At 62.6% G+C, this 19705-nt stretch overlaps 2 protein-coding genes, 1 long non-coding RNA gene and 2 other non-coding genes across 67 annotated transcripts in view; 2 read left to right on the forward strand and 3 right to left on the reverse strand.

Moving 5' to 3' along the window:
- TSC2 (TSC complex subunit 2) overlaps nucleotides 1-1075 on the forward strand; it is a 41507-nt gene extending 40432 nt beyond the window's left edge. For all 52 annotated transcript variants that reach the window (NR_176226.1, NR_176227.1, NR_176225.1 and 49 more), the window contains one exon: nucleotides 30-1075. Coding sequence is in view for 47 of the 52 variants with exons in the window: in NM_001406693.1 (NP_001393622.1) it covers nucleotides 30-194 (165 nt within the window). In the remaining 5 variants the exon portion in view is untranslated. The remainder of the gene's footprint in view (nucleotides 1-29) is intronic.
- The window catches only part of PKD1 (polycystin 1, transient receptor potential channel interacting), a 47191-nt gene continuing 27777 nt past the window's right edge, over nucleotides 292-19705 (reverse strand). For 10 of the 12 annotated variants that reach the window (XM_047434209.1, NM_001009944.3, XM_047434208.1 and 7 more), the window contains 31 exons: nucleotides 19467-19616; nucleotides 18389-18532; nucleotides 17982-18261; nucleotides 17675-17888; nucleotides 17449-17608; nucleotides 16906-17058; nucleotides 16082-16226; nucleotides 14850-15479; nucleotides 14398-14554; nucleotides 13965-14217; nucleotides 13645-13840; nucleotides 11980-12150; nucleotides 11750-11893; nucleotides 11445-11655; nucleotides 11228-11354; nucleotides 9452-9568; nucleotides 9312-9364; nucleotides 8903-9087; nucleotides 8732-8825; nucleotides 5676-5794; nucleotides 5395-5597; nucleotides 5128-5322; nucleotides 4538-4677; nucleotides 4064-4176; nucleotides 3631-3772; nucleotides 3365-3490; nucleotides 3007-3181; nucleotides 2468-2758; nucleotides 2258-2392; nucleotides 1869-2174; nucleotides 292-1778 (listed from right to left, as the gene is read on the reverse strand). In XM_047434209.1, the coding sequence (XP_047290165.1) occupies nucleotides 1311-1778; nucleotides 1869-2174; nucleotides 2258-2392; nucleotides 2468-2758; nucleotides 3007-3181; nucleotides 3365-3490; nucleotides 3631-3772; nucleotides 4064-4176; nucleotides 4538-4677; nucleotides 5128-5322; nucleotides 5395-5597; nucleotides 5676-5794; nucleotides 8732-8825; nucleotides 8903-9087; nucleotides 9312-9364; nucleotides 9452-9568; nucleotides 11228-11354; nucleotides 11445-11655; nucleotides 11750-11893; nucleotides 11980-12150; nucleotides 13645-13840; nucleotides 13965-14217; nucleotides 14398-14554; nucleotides 14850-15479; nucleotides 16082-16226; nucleotides 16906-17058; nucleotides 17449-17608; nucleotides 17675-17888; nucleotides 17982-18261; nucleotides 18389-18532; nucleotides 19467-19616 (5997 nt within the window). In that variant the 3' untranslated portion in view covers nucleotides 292-1310. The remainder of the gene's footprint in view (nucleotides 1779-1868; nucleotides 2175-2257; nucleotides 2393-2467; nucleotides 2759-3006; nucleotides 3182-3364; nucleotides 3491-3630; nucleotides 3773-4063; nucleotides 4177-4537; nucleotides 4678-5127; nucleotides 5323-5394; nucleotides 5598-5675; nucleotides 5795-8731; nucleotides 8826-8902; nucleotides 9088-9311; nucleotides 9365-9451; nucleotides 9569-11227; nucleotides 11355-11444; nucleotides 11656-11749; nucleotides 11894-11979; nucleotides 12151-13644; nucleotides 13841-13964; nucleotides 14218-14397; nucleotides 14555-14849; nucleotides 15480-16081; nucleotides 16227-16905; nucleotides 17059-17448; nucleotides 17609-17674; nucleotides 17889-17981; nucleotides 18262-18388; nucleotides 18533-19466; nucleotides 19617-19705) is intronic. The other 2 variants (NM_000296.4, XM_011522529.3) reach the window with 1 other exon arrangement.
- MIR1225 (microRNA 1225) lies at nucleotides 1779-1868 on the reverse strand. The gene has a single exon (NR_030646.1). It is a non-coding gene; the product is annotated as a microRNA 1225 (primary transcript).
- Nucleotides 3020-6601, forward strand: PKD1-AS1 (PKD1 antisense RNA 1). The gene is made up of 3 exons (NR_135175.1): nucleotides 3020-3198; nucleotides 4473-4596; nucleotides 6305-6601. It is a non-coding gene; the product is annotated as a PKD1 antisense RNA 1 (long non-coding RNA).
- MIR6511B1 (microRNA 6511b-1) lies at nucleotides 18253-18337 on the reverse strand. The gene has a single exon (NR_106775.1). It is a non-coding gene; the product is annotated as a microRNA 6511b-1 (primary transcript).

The following is a 19705-nucleotide window of genomic DNA, read 5'->3' on the forward strand; positions in this document are numbered from 1 at the left end:
CTTACTGCCCAAGCCGCCTCTGCCTTCAGATCTGCGAGGAAGCCGCCTACTCCAACCCCAGCCTACCTCTGGTGCACCCTCCGTCCCATAGCAAAGCCCCTGCACAGACTCCAGCCGAGCCCACACCTGGCTATGAGGTGGGCCAGCGGAAGCGCCTCATCTCCTCGGTGGAGGACTTCACCGAGTTTGTGTGAGGCCGGGGCCCTCCCTCCTGCACTGGCCTTGGACGGTATTGCCTGTCAGTGAAATAAATAAAGTCCTGACCCCAGTGCACAGACATAGAGGCACAGATTGCAGTCAGACAGCTCTTTTATTGACTTTGTCTGCTTGGTGCGGGGGTTGGGGGGGTGTCGAGGCTCTAGAAGCGGCCATGCCCACAGAAGTGGTACACAGAAGCAGGCACAGCCAGCTCCGAGGGCCTTGAGGCTGCCTGGGCCATACAGCACACTCGCGCGTGCGCGCGCGCACACACACACACACACAGTCACCTTCCTCCACCCTGGGAGCCAGCCCCCAGGAGGAGTCTTTTCCTCTAACCACCCTGGGGTCCTCTGACATGCCTAGTCCTGCTACTTGCCCAGACCTGATGCCAGCAGGCCTGGGCGCTGCTCTCTTGCTACCTGGCCTGGGGCAAGGGAGGATGACAAGGCCTCTGGGGTGATGAGAGTGCCTGGCAGACAGCTGTGCCCCCAGCACCGGCCCAAGGCCAAGCTCGCATCCAAGCAGCAGCCGGGCTGCCATAACGCCACCACACCTACCAAGCGCAGCAGGTGTTGGGGGAGGCCAGCTCTGGGCGCAGGCCCCTCAGCCCTAGTGAAAATAGTGACATACAAAAATATACACATTTTAACACCATATAAATTACTGACACGAGACACACAGTGAGACGGTGCAGGGAGTACGGTAGGAACTGGAGAGGTAATAACTTAGGGGCAGGGTGGCGGCGGTGCAGGCTAACCCTCCCTGAAGCCAGCAGCCTTAGCAGTGGGGGACATCTGCCCAGGGGGTGGGGCCGGGCACAGCCCGCTGTACCTGAGGACTCGGGGAAATAAATTAGCATCTCAGAGGCTAGAAACCGTCCAATACTGCTGTGTCCTTCCCAAGGGAGCTGGGGAGGGGACCCTGGGTCCTGGTTGGCCACACAGCCTCTTTAAAGTGCTGAAGCCCACAGACAGACAGATGCCCCTGCCTGCTCTCTGGGGAACCTACGTGCAGCCATTCTGCCTGGCCCTCGGCCTTGACAGCGGCAGAAAGTAATACTGAGCGGTGTCCACTCCGACTCCACGGCCCACCCCCGCCAGGAAGGAGGACTAAGTGCTGCTGGGGTGGACCTTGTTCTTGGCCCGAAGGGGTGTCCTGCTGGGGCCAGTGGCCAGGTCCACACCCCGACTGGCCCGGGCAAGGCGGCTGGGCAGTGCTGGCCGCAGGCCCGGGGATGGGCCACGGGAAGATCCGGCGGGCGCCCGGCTGCTCCTGCGGCCTTGCAGGCTGTGCAGCTGCTGCTCCAGCTGGTAGACGTCCTCTGTGGCCTGGTTGAGTCGGTCAAACTGGGTGAGCAGGGCCTCGAACACGGCTTGGAGGCGGGAGGGCTCAGGCTCACACCTTGTCCCCAGCCGGCCCAGGCTCACGCTCAGCCCATCCAGCTGGCTGGAGGAGGTGGAGGGGTGCGAGGCATCGGAGCCAGCGCTGGGTGGGGGCACATCCGGGGATACCTTGGAGCCCCTGGAGGAGCGAGAGGGCAGCGGCTCCATCCCTTCAAAGCGGACTTTGTGGCGGAACTGGGGGCGGCACAGGGGCTCAGTCAGTCCGGCTGCACCCTGGGCAGAGCCCAGGGCGTGTCCCTCTCCCCCCCACTGGGCCGTACCCACCTCCTTGACCTTGCTGAGGCCCATCCAGAGGCGCAGCCTGCGCAGGAACAACTCCACCATCTCGTAGTCCTGGGGCTCCCAGGCCGGCCGGTACAGCTCTCCACGCAAGGCGTGGTAGCGCCAGCGGAGAATAACAGCCCCCAGCCGTAGGGCGCCCCACAGCCGCAGTGCCCAGAGCCCCACACACAGCAGGGGTGACAGGTGCCAGGACTCGGCAGGACACAGGGTAGAGAGCCCAGTCCCAGGGCACAGCACCAACAGGGCCTGGGCCACGCTCCAGAGGGAGTCCACACAGGAAGACACGAGCTGCGGGGAAGGCGACACCAGTGAGGGCGTACAGCTGAGCTGAGCTGAGCTAAGACGCCCTCCCCGGCCGCGCAGTCACCTACCAGGATGGCCAGCTGGGCGTAGGCTACCCCGAGCACCACCAGGCCCAAGGTGACCCCCAGGAGCTCTGGCAGAGCTCGGCATAATGTCTTGCCAAAGACGGACCACTGGCGCACGAAGCGTAGCTGCTGGGCAGCCTGCGGACGAGAAATCTGTCTGCTTGCAGCCCTGGGGTGTGCGCCCAGCCCCGCGCCCACCGGCCCAGCCCTCACCTTGACCAAAAGCAGGAAGAGCAGCGAGGCCGCCAGGCCACGGGCTGCGGAGCTCAGCTGCGCCACCTGGTCGAAGCTAGTGAAGCGGCGCGGGCGGCCGCGCACGAAACGGGTCCACTGGCGGTCAGCGGCACCCAGCTGGGCGAGGCGTACCAGTGCCGTGGCCGCCGTCAGCGCCACCAGCAGCCACCGCGCCCAGGCTCCGAGCCGCAGCACGCGCCAGCGCCCTTCCCTGTGCCAAGTACGGGCCTCGGCCACGGCGAAGTGCACGGCGAACAGCAGCAGGCACACCTGTGGGGGGCGCGGTCAGGAGGGCGGGAGGGACGCTGCCGGGGCGGGGCCCTGCGAGGGGGCGGGACGCTGCCGGGGCGGGGCCCTACGAGGGGGCGGGACGCTGCCGGGGCGGGGCCCTGCGAGGGGGCGGGACGCTGCGAGGGGGCGGGGCGCTGCGAGGGGTGAGACGCTGCCGGGGCGGGGCCCCGCGAGGGGGCGGGACGCTGCCGGTGGGAGGCGCGGGGTCTGGCCGGGGACGGGCGTACCGAGGTGAGCAGAGGCAGCGAGAGGCCCGCGCTGAGGCGGCGCAGCGCAAAGGGGCGGACGCTGAGGGCGGCCAGGGCGCGGCCGGCCGCCGGGAACTCGAGGCGCAGCGTGACGGCGGCGTGCAGCCCCACGGCCGGGCTGTAGCGCGTGAGCTCCAGGAACACAGCGCGGCTCCTGCGCAGAGGGTGCGGGTCAGTAGGAGCGGGTGGCAGGGCGGGAGCTGCGGGGACCGCGCAGTGCAGGCGTGGCTGAGGGGCTGTGGAAGCCGCCTAGGCCAGCGGGGGCCGGAGGAGTGAGGGTGGGCTCCTGGCTGGTGACTGCGGCCACCCCGGAGAGGGCAGGGGAGGGAGCTCCCACCTGTTGTCCAGCCAGTTGTGCAGCTGCAGGAAGCGCAGCCGGTCGCGGCTCTCCTCCAGGCTCAGGCCCAGCTCCTGCACGTAGCCCCCGCTGTCATACACGGCACAGGAGCCCCAGGACCATGCCCTGCCGGAGAGGGGTGGCGTGGGTGCCGCACCCCAGCCCTTCCGGCACCCCGGAGCCAGGCTGGTCAGGAGGCCGCGGCACTCCTGGAGAACTACTCCCTTGTCCTTGGCGTAGACGCCCGGGGCCCTCGCTCTGCTCACCCCAGCAGATCCGGCGCTGAATAGGCCCACGTCCCCGAGCCATTGTGAGGACTCTCCCAGCCAACGTCGTAATCGCTGGTGCTGAAGCCTCCTGCGGCCGAGCACGTGTGGACCCTGGGGCCGGGAGGGTCTGGGTAGAGTGCTGAAACACACAGAGCCCCAGGCCGGGGCCAGGGCCTCATCAAAACCCAACAGGAGTGTTTCCTGCTGGCCAGCTCGCCTGAGCTCTGGTTCGGCGCCACCCCAGGGAACCCTCCCAGCAGCCATCAATTAGACAACGTTACCATCTCTCATATACAGAGAAGGAAACGGCGGTGTTAAGAGGGCAAAGGTCACACAGCTAGGGAGCAGGGCTGATGCCAGAGCTCCGCTAAAGGCTGCTCTCTCAACAAGAGGAACGATTTAAGTCTTGGGGCACGCCCTGCCAGCTCACCTTCCTGCAGCCGCACCTGCCGCAGCCGTGGGGGCCCCAGCTCTGGGCTGGACTGGTTCCCGTGGACGTAGGGCAGCAGCACGTGGGCCATCCATGGCCAGAGCTCCTCAGACCTGCCACAGCATCAGTCACACGCTCCAGCCCCTACTGCCCCATGCCCGCCTCGAGTGAGCGGCCACCAGAGACCCAGGGAACATGGCTCCCACTGCCCTGCTGGCCACGGCTAGACCTGGGCTTCTCAGCCTTATCCTGGGGATGTTCTGGGGCAGACAGTTGTCTGTCATGGGCCCGTCCTGTGCACTGCAAGACACGGACCTGTGTCCCTCCCCTCTGCCTACTGATGCCAGCAGCACCTACCTCCAGTTCTAGCAGCCACAAAGGTATCTACACATGTCCACATGTCCCCTAGGGTCTGGCTGGACTAAAGGCAAAACTAAAGCCCAGAAGACAGACCAGTGCACCGGATGCCCGTACCGCGTGATGGCCAGGAAGGCCCGGCTGTGCAGCTCCTGCTTGATGGCGCTTTGCAGACGGTAGGCGTGCCCATGGCATGAGGCATCCCCATAGCTGGCCAGCAGGGTCACCAGCAGAAAAAGCATGTACACCAGGAGGCTCTGGTGGACGGGGGGGCCCTGTGGTCAGCCTGGCCCCAGCCCACAGTGACAGCAGGGCTTTGGCAACGGCTGGAGCCATGGCTGCGGCAGGTGTGGCTGCAGGAAGGTGAGCTGGCAGGGGGCGCCCCAAGACTCTACCTGGCCAGGGTAATGGCAGCACACACCCTGCCCGGAACCCCACCTGGGGGCAGACACACAGGCCACTGCAGTGGTGCTTAGGGGCCTTCAGGGCCAGGCAGGAGTGGGCATTGGAGCTGGGCCCTGGCAGGGACTGGGGCAGCAAGTGGGGGGCGTGGGGTAGGAGGGAGACCGGGCAAAGGCTGCAGAGCATTGAACCCCTAAGGGCCTTCTGAGGTGAGGAAAGGGGGACAGGAGTGTCCTGCGTGCATGGGTGGGAGGTGGGAGACAAGAGACGGAGGTGGCAGGGGCACAGGCCGCACCCAGGCTCACCCGCAGCATGCCATGTAGCCTCTTGACCTTGCGGGCTTCTTCCTTGGCCAGGAAGAGTGCAAAGCCGTGGGGTGGCCGTACGCGGGGCACACGTGCGCTCACAGGCGTCACAGCCGGGCTCTCTACCAGGGTGTCATCTTCATCCGGGTGCAGCCGCTTGGCCACCAGTGAGAAGTACAGGGCTTCCAGCAAGACCTGGGGAGGGGGTGGCTTCAGAGGGGTCCCCCGTGATGGAGGCCTGTAGCCTACCCCTGGCAGCCCCCTCACCTTCAGTGGCTCCCAGCCGAGGAATGAGGCCAGGAAGCTGGCGCTGCTGGACAGGAGCCACGCAACACTCACGCCCGGGGGGAAGCTCGCACCCACCCACCCTGAGACAGCCACAGCCACAGCCACCAGGAGCAGGCTGAGCCCGTGGGCCAGGGAGGCACACCAGGCCGGCAGCAGGCGCTTCCGCAGACCCTCCACCAGTCCTGGGGAAGCAGAGACAGACCTGTGAGAGGCAGCTCACAGGGAGGGGCTAGGGGCATCCCGGGGCTACGCAAGCACACCTGTCCTGGACAGCCTCGCTGCCTGGGGCTGTTCCCAGTTCAGGCCTGGGCTGGGTGGCCCCAGCTCCCCCAGCCTCTGCAGCGCCAGCGTCTCTGTCTTCTCCCCAGGAGTGCTGGACCTGAGGGACATGGTAGGCTGTGAATTCATCCCGGCCTCCAGGAGGCAGTTGCAGCCAAGCCCATGTTAACCTGGGCGGGCAGTTTCTTGAGCCTCTTGGGTCACAGGGTCCCCCCGACAAAAAGCCGGAAGACCCTACCCCAAACGAGAGTGGGAGTGGTGCTGGGAGCCAGGGAACCAAGAGCCACTCCAGGCACCGAAGTCAGGCGTCCGCCTGCGTCCCTCTCCCGCCCGCTTGCTGCTGATAAACCCATCGCCCACAGCCTGACCAGCTGCCCTTACAGCAGTGCACAGTCTCTCAGGGTGCAATGAGCCCCCCTTCAACCCTGCAAACTATGATTGGGTCTCAACCATCCAACAAGCATCTCTACAATCTAGAGACGCCAGTGTGTCTGTCCCATGCAGGTTTATGGCCTAAAATTAACTTCTGGACAAGGAAACATATGAATGCCTTTCAAATCCCAACAGTGTGTAGGGCTCCCTGAGGCCAGAGATCTGCTTGTGTCTCCAGGAGCCAGTGACCACCGAGGCTGTGCCACTGCATCGGGCCACCATGCTGATATGCCCGGTCCCAGAGCTGCTAGAGAAGAGGTACAGAGGCAGCGAAGACACGTTGAGGGGGAGGACGAGACCAACTGCGAGACGCCGAGTCCCGGGCTCTCAGGACGCTCTCCCGTACCTGCGCCCTCGTCAGCCCATCACCGAAAGAACGGCCTGACCCAGGGTCACACTGCACTGAATGCTTCCTGTTTTGCTGTCTCTCGGAGGATAAAAGACACTCTTGGCTGGGCGCAGTGTCTCAAGCCTGTAATCCCAGCACTTCAGGAGGCTGAGGCAGGAGGATCACTTGAGCTCAGGAGTTGGAGACAGTGAGACCCTGTCTTTACAAAAAATTAAAAAATGACCTAGCCTCAACTTGGTCAGGCGTGGTGGCTCACGCCTGTAATCTCAGCATTTTGGGAGGCTGAGATGGGTGGATCACGAGGTCAGGAGTTCAAGACCAGCCTGGCTAAGATGGTGAAACCTCCTCTCTACTAAAACACACACACAAAAAATTAGCCGGCTGTGGCGGCGGGCGCCTGTAATCTTAGCTACTTGGGAGGCTGAGGCAGATAACTGCTTGAACGTGGGAGGCAGACTTTGCAGTGAGCCGAGATCATGCGACTGCACTCCAGTCTGGGCAACAGAGACTCCATCTCAAAAAAATAAATAAAAATAAAAAATAACCCAGCCTCAACTATTCCTTTATAGCAACACAAATGACTCAGGGTCTGACTCAGGGAGCAGGCTCTCGCTGGCAGAGACGGAGAATGGCCAATAGGGAGGCATGGAGTGGCAGGGAATGCCAGGGCAGAGGCGCCGCCAGGACGGAGGGTGCAGGCTCAGGCGCAGGGAAGGCCGTGCTCTGCGTTGGGAAAGGAGCCACGGGACGCGCTGGAGGCTGCAGTGAGGAAGGACGCAGAGGGGTCCAGGACAAACCCAAGCCTCCGACCTGGTCAGCCCGAAGCACTGTCCGAGCAAGGGACGGCCAAGGGTTGAGGAAGCCGGGAGGGTGAGGGCCACGCGCTCTGTGTGGATGCGGAGTCTGAGCTGCCGTCAGAAATCCCCGCGGAAGCACTGAATCTGGATTTCACAGAGCTTTGGGCCGGAGATACCTGGGGCTGGTCAGCATGTAGTGACTACCCCTGGATTTCCCCATACTCTGTATTTTTAAAACCAACCAGCAATTTATTCATAAAGATGCCCTCATGTGATGGTTATCTGCCTTTTGTAAATCAGGAAGTTTTCCTTTTTGTTTGAGTCCAGGGGCAGTTCATACCTCTTTAGTTCTTGGTTGCTTAACAATGAGAAGCACTCAAAGGAATAACACACAAATCAAACTAGATGTGGATGCAAAAGCAGCAGTCACGCACCACTTAGTGCCAGGGATGTGTTCTGAGAAATGCGTCATTAGGTAATTCTGTTGCTGTGCAAATGTCACAGGGCGTAGTTACCCAAACCCAGACACCGCAGCCCCTGTGCATGCAGGCCCTGTGGTGTGGCCTGTGGCTCCGGGGCACCGCACCTGCACTGCATGCCACTGCACTGAATCCTGCAGGCAGCTGCAGTGCAACGGCAGGGCCGTGTGGACCTCAGCACACCTGAGCATAGGAGGGCATGGCAGAGCCCGGGGTCACACGCGTGGGAACACGCCGTGGGTGCGCTCCGCCGCCGGCTGCCATGTGCGTGACTATGTGCGTGACTACATACAAGGTAACCTCTATATGACCATTTGTTGATAAGTTACAAAACAACCAAGAAATTGAGGAATTTTTTTGTTTTTGAGACGGAGTTTCGCTCTTGTTGCCCAGGCTGGAGTGCAGTGGCGCGATCTCGGCTCACTACAACCTTCACCTACCAGGTTCAATCGATTCTCCTACCTCAGTCTCCCGAGTAACTGGGACTACAGGCGCCTGCCAGCATGCCCGGCTAATTTTTTGTATTTTTAGTAGAGACGGGGTTTCGCCATGTTGGCCAGGCTGGTCTCGAACTGCTGACCTCAGGTCATCTGCCCACCTCGGCCTCCCAAAGTGCTGGGATTACACGTGTGAGCCACCGCGCCCGGCCAAAAATGGGGTATTTAAAAACCCGCCCATAATTTCTCACTGCTCTGAGACCAAGATAAAAACGTGGCCCCGGCCAGCCTCACACAGGAGCCTTTCTGCTCCTACAAAGCCCCATGAGCCTGCTCCCTCCCTAGAGGGAAGGTTCTGGGGCCCTGGGGATCCCATGAGGCTCTTTCCACAGACAACAGAGGTTCAGAGAAGTGAAGTGGTGCAGCCACAGCCCTGCCCTGGCACCCCACCCCACCCTACCCCAGGCGGGAACCACGGCTGCCTGGCCTGAGTCCCGGCCCCTCCTCTGGCAATCCCCCCTCCCCCGAGAGCCGGACACTCACAGGCTGCTGAGCAGGTCCGTTTCCATGTGGGTGTCTTGGGTAGGGGCTGGGCTGCTGACCCCCTCGGCAAGGACCTGCTGGATCAGGTCTTCATCTAGAGGTACAGGAGGCATAGGGTGGGCCCAGCTGCAAGGGTGAGCTTCAGAGCCCCCTCCTCTCACCCCAGCTCACCTGATGCTGAGAAGGATTTGGCAGGCGAGTAGGGGCTGGCCAGGGAGAAGCCGTCCTCCTCTGGGCCCAGCCCATGGCCCGCCTGGCCCCGTGCCAGCTGCCGCAGATTGCTACCCACAATGGACGGGTCACTGAGCAGGTCCGGCCAACTGAGCGTTCCCTCGCCGGAGGGCCAGCACACCAGACTGCAGGTGGCGCGGGTCAGCAAGGTACCAGGGGATGTGTCACACACACAGCCCACCCCCGTCCAGTCACGCACGGACACCCTGGGCTTCCGAGCAAACCTGCTCCCGGGTGGTGTGACCACATGGAGCCACAGACACCCAGCAAGGACACGCAGCCCGCACACCCCCGGCACCCCAGACACAGTGACCTGCACCAGGGCTCGAGGTTTCTCTAGGGAACCCACCTCTTAGAATCATCCAGAAACAAGTCACTCTTCATCTGTCCAACAAAGGCCTGCTGAGAGGTGCACAGTGTCTTGAGTCCAAGCTGCGCCAAGGCGGCAGGACCCCCAGCCCAGCCCAGGACCCCCAGTAGAGTCCTCACCTCAGCGTGGAGGCCTGAGAACGTGAGGAAGGAGCTGTCCAGCACGGACGAGTCCAGGCAGCTGTCGATGTCCAGCACCTGCTGCCCGGCAGGTGTGGGGCTCGGGCTCCCAGCCACCTGCAGGACGAGGGCAGTGGTCAGCGGGCGGCAGCTCAGACCTGCTCAGGACAGGGATGAGAAGCCACCTCCTCAGCAGACAGGACAGAGCCCGGTGCCATCTGACAGAATGTCCTAGAATGCTGGATATATGGGACATCTGCACCGTCCGTGATGGCAGCCCCTCGCGACGTGTGCCACTGAACACTTGACAGCAGACTGGTGCAGCTAAGGAACAGAGTTTTAAATTTCATATTTTCTTTTTTAGATGGAGTCTCGCTGTCACCCAGGCTGGAGTGCAATGGCGCAATCTCAGCTCACTGCAACCTCCACCTCCCGCGTTCAGGCGATTGTCCTGGCTCAGCCTCCTGAGTAGCTGGGATTACAGGTGCCTGCCACCATGCCCAGCTAATTTTTTGTATTTTTAGTAGAGACGGGGTTTCACTGTGTTGGCCAGGCTGGTCTTGGAACTCCTGACCTCAAGTGATCTGCCCGCCTCCGCCTCCCAAAGTGCTGGGATTACAGGTGTGAGCCACCACACCCGGCCATCGTTCCATTTTAATTAACTTAAATACGAGCAGCCACATGTGGCCTCTGGTTCCTGCCACGGACTCGGGAGCAACCCCTCCTGGTCGCGGCTTATGCGCCTTCTCTGTGTGCTGCTGGGGTTAGTTTGCATGTAACCTCTTGAGGACCCCACGTGTGCATTCCTAAGGGGTGCGGCCTCCCGTTTCCGTATGAATGGGAAGCGTTCCCACCTGCTGTATTCTTGGAAAGAGTCTGTGAAGGATTGGTGTTAATTCTTCCTTAACTGCTTAGAAAAATTCTATCGTGAAGGCTCTGAGCCTGAGCTTTTCTTTGTGGGATTTTTTTTTTTTTTTTTTGGAGATGGAGTCTTGCTCCGTTGCCCAGGATGGAGTGCAGTGGCGCAATCTCGGCTCACTGCAAGCTCCGCCTCCTGGGTTCATGCCATTCTCCTGCCTCAGCCTCTCGAGTAGCTGGGACTACAGGCGCCCGCCACCATGCCCAGCTAAGTTTTTGTATTTGTAGTAGAGTCGGGGTTTCATTGTGTTGGCCAGGCTGGTCTCGAACTCCTGACCTCAAGTGATCTGCCCGCCTCGGCCTCCCAAAGTGCTGGGATTACAGGCGTGAGCCACCGCGCCTGGCCCTTTTTAATGTTTTATATAGATGGGGTCTTGCTATGTTGCCCAGGCTGGTCTCAAACTCCTGGACTCAGATCCGCCCACCTCGGCCACCTGAAGTGTTGGGATTACAGGCGTGAGCCACCACACCCGGCCCGGCCACTGGGACGTTTCTAAGGGACTAACTCAGCCTCTTCACTTCCTATAGATGTACTGAGATTTTCTTCTGGAGTGCATTTCGGAAGCGTGCACAGCCGCGTGCTTGCTTCTTCTGAGTTATCTGGCGTGCTGCTGTGCAGTCGTCCGTGGCGTCTGCTTAGCAAAGTGCCCTCGTTCTTTCACCATTCTGGCTTCTGAGTCTTCTCTCTTTCTCCCTGGTCAGTCTAGCTAAGGCTGCTCAAGTGTGTTGACCCTTCCCGAGCAGCCTTTGGTGGACGCCTTTCCCTCTGGCTGCAGCACTGGAAAGTGGCGGCCCTAGGCATGGTGCCGAGGCCCAGGCTCCATTCCCAGTACTCCCGGGTCCCCAGCCCCAGCCCACCTTGCTCCGGGACATCCGGAAGAGAAAAAGGATGGCCAGGTAGACGGGATAGACAACCACGCTGGACACCAGGCCAACAGCGACTGTGTCGACGCTCAGCGGGCTCAGCCTGGACACATGCCCCGTGCTGTGTGGAGGAGAGGAGGCCACACAGGTGAGGCTGAGGGGCAGGAAGGGCTGGGCAGGAAGAGGCTGCCCCGACCCCTACGGCACCCACCTGTAGGCAGAGTCGCCAACAGCCCCGTACCACACGGCGTTGGCGCCCAGGAAGAGGCAGATGAGGAGAACGCAGCAGGTGGCCCTCTGGATGCGAGTGAAACGGCTACGAGGCGGCCGGTCCCATATGGAGAGCCAGATGTGCTTGTCAAAGAAGCCACGCTGCAGCTCAGCCACCAGCAGGCGCCGGAAGCGCAAAAGGGCTGCGTCGCCTAGAAGGCAGGGAGGGCCGCACTGCAGGAGGCCACGGGGCAGGACCACCCTGCCCAACCTCCCACGGAGTGGGAACATGGAACGAGGCCTTACTCGCGGCCAGCACCTCCTTCTCCACCAGGCCCCCGTTGGCCTCCGTCTCCACCGAAAGCCAGTCATTGACCAGGAAGAAGGCGCTGCGTGCCGTCTGCAGGTCCCTGACGATGACGTGCTGCAGGAACCAGGCAGGGCTGAGCCCTGCAGAGGCGCAGGAGGGAGGTCAGGCTCGCAGGGCGCCCCAATGCGGGGGCAGAGGGGCAGAGCTTGGCAGGGTCCGCACAAACCTTTGTTGTCGTGCCACACTCGGATCTTCCACACGCTACCCAGGCTGTGCGGGGTGGCGATCCGGAAGATGTCCAGGCTGTTGCGGTGGAAGGCTCTGTCGCCGTCCAGGTGCCGGTGGCCGCTCCGGCTGTCCACCCCATACAGCATGATGCCCACGTGGGCCGTGGTACCTGGGAGGCAAGAGGGAGGGGTGGGAGGCTCGGTCTGCTGCCCAACACGTGTGGCATCCCAGGCAAGTCATCTCAGCTTTGGCCTGTGCGCACTCAAGGAGCCACACAGGCAGTCCCGGCTTTGCACGGCTCTGCCATACACAAGGAGCTGCGGTTACTGCAATTTGTCCAATTAACAGCAGGACCTCAAGGACATGATTAAGTTACATGGAAAGAACTGTAACTTGTGACATGCAAACATGGCTGCACACGCCTCAGTCCACACCACAACCAGTGACCCGCACTGCACACCTGTCCACGCCTCAGTCATGCCACAACCGGTGACCCGCACCACACACCCGTCCCTCAGTTCATGCACAGACTGCAAAGCGTGAAGCTGTGTCACCTCCTCTCCCAGTGACAGACCCAGGTGACAGTATTTTTTTTCTTTTTTTTTTGAGATGGAGTCTTGCTGTGTCACCCAGGCTGGAGTGCAGTGGCGCAATCTCAGCTCACTGCAAGCTCCGCCTCCCGGGTTCACGCCATTCTCCTGCCTCAGTCTCCCAAGGAGCTGGGACTACAGGCGCCTGCCACTACGCCGGGCTAATTTTTTTGTACTTTTTATTAGAGACAGGGTTTCACCGTTAGCCAGGATGGTCTCGATCTCCTGACCCCGTGATTTGCCTGCCTGGCCTCCCAAAGTGCTCGGATTACAGGTGTGAGCCACCGCGCCCGGCCGACAGTTTTTAAAAGTAGGTAATCAAAAGAAAGAACTGGGCAATGAAGAGGAAAGCAGCACAGAGATAAAAAATGGGAACACAGCCAGGTGTGGTGGCTCACACCTGTCATCCCAGCACTCTGGCAGGCCGAGGCAGGCGGATCACCTGAGGTCAGGAGTTCGCCTGGCTGACATGGTGAAAAATTAACTGGGTGTGGTGGTGTGCACCTGTACTCCCAGCTACTCAGGAGAATCGCTTAAGGGGAATGGCTTAAACCCGGGAGCTGGAAGTTGCTGTGAGCCAAGATCATGCCATTGCACTCCAGCCTGGGCAACAGAGTGAGACTCCGTCTCTAAAAAAAGAAAAACGAAAACAAAAAGGGAATGCCAGAAGGGCAATTCCAATGAAAGGAAAATGGAGGTACTGAAGAAACAGCCACGGGGAGGGTGCTGGCGCCTCCGTCTGAGAGACGAGCTATGCAGTCAGGATCGCGGGTGGATGCACAGTCTCCCACAGTGGTAGCGATGCTCACGTCACTTGTGGGGCCACGCTACTGTGCAGAACGTGGGCTGCCCACCCTGACTGACTGGCACCTACTTCCAGCTAGGAGCTGTCCTAGTCCTCAGGGACAGTGAGTGCTCACGAGGTCATTCCCAGGATGAACACACGAGCCCTTCACACAGCACTGCAAAAACTGCCTTGTTCTGACGCCTGCGACGAGACTCACTCCCAGAGGGTGCAACCAGCACAGCCAGTGAGAGCAGGGGAGGCCCTGCCACCCCGCTGCGCCCCTCACCTGAGCCCCGGCCCCAGCCTGTCTTGACGAGGATCTCGTACTTGAAGCGGCCCCGCTGCCCACAGAAAGGGATGGCGCGGCCCCGGCTGGCATCCAACTGGTCCAGCTTGTGCAGGATGGCGGCCATGACCATGTAGGTCACCAGGCACACAGCACATGTCAGCATGACGATGTAGTTTACATCCGCTGTCGGCTCCTGTGAGGACACAGCCGCCGGGCCCAGGAGGTCACGTGCAAGCTGTGCCTTCTCAGGATAGAGCCGAGCCCACCCAGGCCCTCCTCGACTCTGCAGAGGCTCCCAGGAGCACAGGGTCACTCACAGGAAACACAAAGCGGACATGGCTTGGGGGCACGAAGAGGCTGGCGCCGAAGGCGGTGAGGTGGCGGGTGAGGCAGACGGCCTGGCGGGGCGAGGTCTCCTCCAGGGGCAGCAGCCCCTCTGTCCGCCACACCATGTCCTCCTCGCTGAAGTACTGGCACAGGGACGTGTACAGGCCCACGGACACCTGCAGCGCCGACCAGCGGAAGTGGCTGGAGAGGTTCAGATGGTAACTCCCCGCTGGGTCTCTGCTCCTGGGCAGGGAAGGGGTAGCGGACGTGAGCCCAGGCTCCGCCAGGTTGGATGTCGCAGTCTCAGAGCCCATACCCGGTCCAGTCCCCTCGCTGCCTGCCGTCCCCATGGGGCCAGTAACCCAGGCAATGCTGACCCATGATGCCCTGCCCTGCCCTGCCAGGCTGGCCCGCAGAGCTCACCCCGGGGAAATGAAGAAGGTGTAGGGCCGGTGGTCAGCACCCTGGAGTGACTCTGGGCGGATCCTCCTGCTAGCCGAGCAGTTGTGCTCATTGGGCCGGGGCTCCGAGTGTAGGTAGACTGCCAGGTAGGGCTCAGGTTCCTCAGACAGGTAGTGGCCTGGGGCAGAACGCGCAGGTCACACGCCTGCCGGGAAGCTCAACCACCCGGGGGACACCCACGATGGCCCTCCTGAGCCCACCCTCTGCCACGGGCCTGAAAGGCCATAGGAGCCTCTGCACCAGAGCTGGCACCTGCTTCTCCGTGGCCCCCAGCTCCTCTCTGGCCAGGCCCCCAGCAGCCCATGAAACAGAAAGCAAATTTCACCAGAGACACCCATGGAAGCCCTACGAGAAACGCCTTCCCCCCAAGAACAAGGCCAGGGGGCCGCGTGTGCCCCACCCGCTGCACGCACCGTCCAGCAGCGTATAGTTGAGCTGCAGATGCAGCCCGGCCGCAGGGTTGCTGCTGTCCAGGGTGACCACAGCACCGACGGAGGCCTGGGGCTGGACCACAACGGAGTTGGCGGAGTTGGCGGAGCTGCGGTGGCCCCGGGCAGCCCAGTCCGAGTTGTTGGGCACCTTCACGGTGATGGCGCGCTCTGAGGCCAGCCGCTCGATGGGGATCTGGGCGCCGGCCTGTGTCTGGAATGCCATCGAGGCCACCTTGGTGGAGACGGTGTAGTTGCTGATATAGCCAAAGGGAAAGGGATTGGAGTCCACCAGAAAGATGAGCTGCACCACGTCACTGAGGTTGGCCAGGGCCCCGCTGAAAGCCTCGGGGATGGAGAAGTGGCAGCCAGGCCCTGGGGCGCCGCCATAGCACAGCAGGCTCCGCGGGTCCGAGCGCTTGCCCTGGGCCACGATCTCCTCGCCCGCCAGCGTCAGGGGCTCCTCGTTGAGCACGCGGGAGCGCATGAGGATGCGCATGAGGGCAGAGGTCAGGTTGTAGGCCTGGGACGCCACCATCCGAGATGGTGACTCGGCTCCCAGCTCTGAGGGCTGTGGTGCCCGCACGTCCGAGCTGGCCAGGTGGATGAGGTCTCCTGCAGACATGCGTGAGGTCAGTGCAGAGACAGGGAGGTAGAGGGAGGGTGGGGGCAGGCAAAAAGGGGGAGCCGGAGGGTGGGGGCTGGGAGAAAGGGGGAACCTGAGGGGGCAGAGAGCGAGGTGCAGGCAGAAGGAAGGGGGAAGCTGGAGAGAGAGTGGTGGAGGGGGGAGGGGGAAGGTGATGGGGATGAGGACGAAGATGAGGGGGATGATGGGGAGAGGGAGGAAAAAGGAAGGAAAAGGGTAGAGAAAAGAGAAGGGAGAAGAAGAGGAGCAGGGGGAAAGGGAGGGGAAGGGGGATAAGGGAGGGGAAGGGGGATGAGGGGGATGAGGAAGATGAGGGGAATGGACAAAAGGACGGGGAGGACGGGGGGGGAAATGGAGAAAAGGGGAGAGAGATGGAGAAAAGGGATGGTAATAGGGAAGGGGGAGGGGGAGGAGAATGGGAATTGGGGGAGGGGGATGAGGATGGGAATTGGGGGGAGGGGAGGGGGACGAAGATGGGATGGGGCAAAGGCGACGCGGTTGGGGGGAGGAGGGAGGCAGAGGAAAGGGCCGCACGGGGCGGGCGGGTGGCATGGGGCACGGGCCGCGGCACCTGTGATGTTGAGGATGCTGTCTCCGATGGCGGTGGGCGTCACGGTGCCCGCGGTGGTCTCTGCCTGCAGGATGAGCATCATGGCCTCCAGCTTGTGCAGCGTCTGCTTCAGGCACGAGCGGCATACGAGCTCCCTGCTGGGCCCCTGTGTGGAGCCAGCAGTGTCCAGCCCCGCTCCTGGCCCCACTCCTTGCACACGCCCTCCTCTCTACACGGGTCCTCACCTGGCTCCCACCCCCAGCCCTGCAGCTGGAGAGCCCACTTGACTGGACCCCCACAGCCTCCTCACTAAGCATTTTCTGTGGCTCTGCATGACCCAGGGCCTCCACCTGGGGACCACGTGATGCAGCCCACCGACCACACAAGGCACCTCTTCACATGAGAGCGGAGGAGGAGGGGAGAGAGGAGAGGGGAGTGGAGAAAAAGGGGAGGGGAGGAGGGGAAGGGCTGGGGGGGAAGAAGGGAAAGGGCTAGGGGAGGGGAGGAGGGGAAGGGCTAGGGGAGGGGAGGAGGGGAGGGGCTAGGGGAGGGAAGGGGGAGGGGAGGGGAGGGGAGAGTGGAGGGCACAGAGCAGCATCTTCTTAGTCCCTCCCCACATCTGGGCCCCTCTTTACACCCTGGGTCCCCCGAGAGGCACCCTGCGTTCACACAGGACAGAACGGCTGAGGCTACTGAAGCAGGTCAGAGACCGAGGAACGCCATGGCAGGAAGGAGCCCAGGCTGGAGGCTCAGCTCCTCGGCCAAGCTGCCCGTCTGCCCTGGGGGGCTGAACCCAGTGCCCTGGCAGGCATGCGGGGCAGGGTGAGCAGGTGGGGCCATCCTACCATGCACTGGGCCAGCGCAGCAGCGATCTGCTGGATGTCATCCACAGTGTGGACCCTCAGGGACACCAGAGTCTCCGTGATGTTCTTGCGTATCTGGGCTCGGTGCTGCCGCTCGTGCTTGGGCTCTGCCGCCACGTCCAGGGCCCGCTCGTACTGGGGCAGGCAGGGGGCACAGCAAGCTGTCAGCAGCGCAGGAGGCCGGCAGGAGGCCAGCAGATGCCCACGACTCCCGGGGTGCAGTTACGTGCTAGACGCTGTGTGATGCGGGCACTGACCCACAACACTGAGCTGTTTCTTCATGGGCAAAACAGGGTAAGCACATGGGCCCTCCTGGGCGGGGGCTGCATTGTGGAAAGCAGACGCCGGAGAGGGCCCGGTGGGTGTGGCTGCTGGGAGCGGAAGGTCGGGGTGCTGCTTCAGGGTCACTGGGATTTATCTCTGGGGCCCGGGATGAGCCCTCTGCAAAGCTCCAGGCAGGGGTACAGGTCTTGGTCCCAAGCACGCATGCAGCAGATGTGACGTCCCCTCCCAGGCTGCACTCACCTCGTTCAGCACGGTGACCAGGGCCAACGAGTACTCGATGACGTGCTGGGGATCGGCCTGCCGCAGCAGCCCTGGGAGCACACTAGCGGTGAGCCCGTGCAGCCAGACTGTGAGCCCCGTTGCGCTGCCGTTGGGCTCTGGGAGGGTGATGGCCAAAGACCTACGAGCAGAGGGGGGTGGTGAGCAGGTGGCAGTCTCGGGGGCGCCCTCCCACGGCCTGGCTCACCTGTTGAGGGCGACCACAGCGGCTCCCAGCTGGTCCTGCACCACCACGGCCAGGCCCACCTCGAAGTGTGGCCTGAAACCCGGGGGCAGCACGGCTCCGTAGCTGGAGAGGCTGCCCTTGTAGACACAGAACTCCTCGCAGTGGCCCTGGCGACAGCGCCGCAGCAGCAGGGCGTACACCAGCGGGGCGCCAGCATCCTCCGCGTCATGCCAGCCTGAGGGACGGTCCCCACGGCATCACGGGAGGGCTCCGTGACGTCACAGAGTCGGGGGATCCCGCTGCTCCCCCCACGCAGGCCTGCACTCACCCGTGCATTCGAAGTGCACCTTGGTGGTGAGGGCGTGCACAGCGCCCAGTGGGAAGAGGCGGCAAGAGCCCCCCAGCGGCGGGCGGTTGGGGGACAGGCGGATGGAGGCGCAGCCCTCCTCCTCGCCAGAGCGGCCCAGCACCGTGAGCGTGAAGGTGTATCCCTCGCCGTCCCGCAGCACGCCCCGCCGCAGCACCAGTCGCATGCCTGCACTGCCCGTGGATGTGGTGGTCTCATCCAGCACCAGCGTCTTGTTGCTGAACGTACGTGCAGCCCACCGCTGCAGGCAGAAGGGGTGGTGAGGGGGCGCAACCCTCTGCCCTGTCAGCCCCACTTCTGCCTGCAGGCCCCGTCCCCTCGGCCATGGGACCCATCCCCAGCCCGCCCACACCCCGCTCAACACTCACCCCTCGCTTGGAGCCGCTGCTGCAATTGAGGCAGCGGCCCTCCAAGTACACGTAGGAGCTGCGGCTCACTTCGTACACGGCCTGTGCCTTGCAGGACACACACTCCAAGGACACAATGGGCACCCGGCCACTCCGGATCAGCACCTGGCGTGGGAGTGGGGTTACCTCCAACACAGGTCTATTTGGCCTGCTGGAAGGACTGGGGGACCCATGGAGGATGCTGCTCCCAAACTCCAGGTTTCCCAGGGGCCTGGCCACTGCCGGTGAGCTCACTCCCTCCCAGGATACTCATCCGGTTTGCCACCTTCCAACTTGGACGGCGGAAGGGCATACACAGGGCAGAGGACACTGGAGTGTGCGTTCTGGTGTACTGGACCCAGCTGGACCCTAGCAGGAGGCAGGCAATGCTCACTGAGGGCCCCTGGGGGGATGCGTGTGAGAAGAGACGTATGTGTGGGTGTGAGGACCGCAGCTGCCACGTAGGCCTGACTCACAGACTCCTGCAGCCCTTAGCCAGGGCCTGGGTCAGGAGGCTGAGCTGGGATGGAACCTGCTCCCACACCCTCCCCTCAGACGACCCCTCTGGGAAGACCCCCAATCAGGCCAGCTGAGGAAAGCAGGGACTGGGGAACAGACGCCCACTCTGGGGCACCAGCAGGCCCCGCCTGACAGCAGCAGGAGCAGCCACCACGGGCTCAGGGTCACCAAGCCTCCTGGCCGGTCCAGAGAGGGGAGCGTGAGGGTGAGAACCGGCCCACCACATCCAGCAACAGGGACATGGGCTGGGGACAGTGGCTACCTCTGGGGTGGGAAGGGGCTCTTCCTCACTGTTGGTATTGCTAGGGGACTGTGTAGCTTTTGCCACTAGAGCATATGTGGCTTGAAGACTGTACGTGGAACTGTGGCAGGTTTGGAAGGAAGCAAAGCTGAAGCAGGCTGTCGTGTTACATAGAATTTGCATCAGAAACAGAGAGGGGAGAGCGTGCGGCCTCCACCAGCACTAAAACACGGAAAACAGTAGATGACCAGGGAGGCTGGGCTGTCCAAGGCAAGTGGCCGAGGGGCGGGCGGCACCCACCGTCTGGTTGGTGGCCTCCTCCTTGCGGCCGGCCTTCCACACGGTCAGGCTGAAGGTGTACTCCACGCCAGCCGCCAGCCGCTCCCGTGGAATGGTGACCGTGCTGCTCCCGCGGGGCCCAAAGTTCAGCGCACACCCGCCAGCCTCCCTCTGCAGGCCGAGAACAAGGGGCGACGTGGCCTGAGAGCCCCATCCAGTTTTAAAGCAGAGCCCGGCCCAGGAGACAGCGCGGGAGACCC

This window comes from Homo sapiens, chromosome 16 (assembly GCF_000001405.40).
Source record: "Homo sapiens chromosome 16, GRCh38.p14 Primary Assembly".
Classification (NCBI taxonomy): Eukaryota; Metazoa; Chordata; class Mammalia; order Primates; family Hominidae; genus Homo; species Homo sapiens.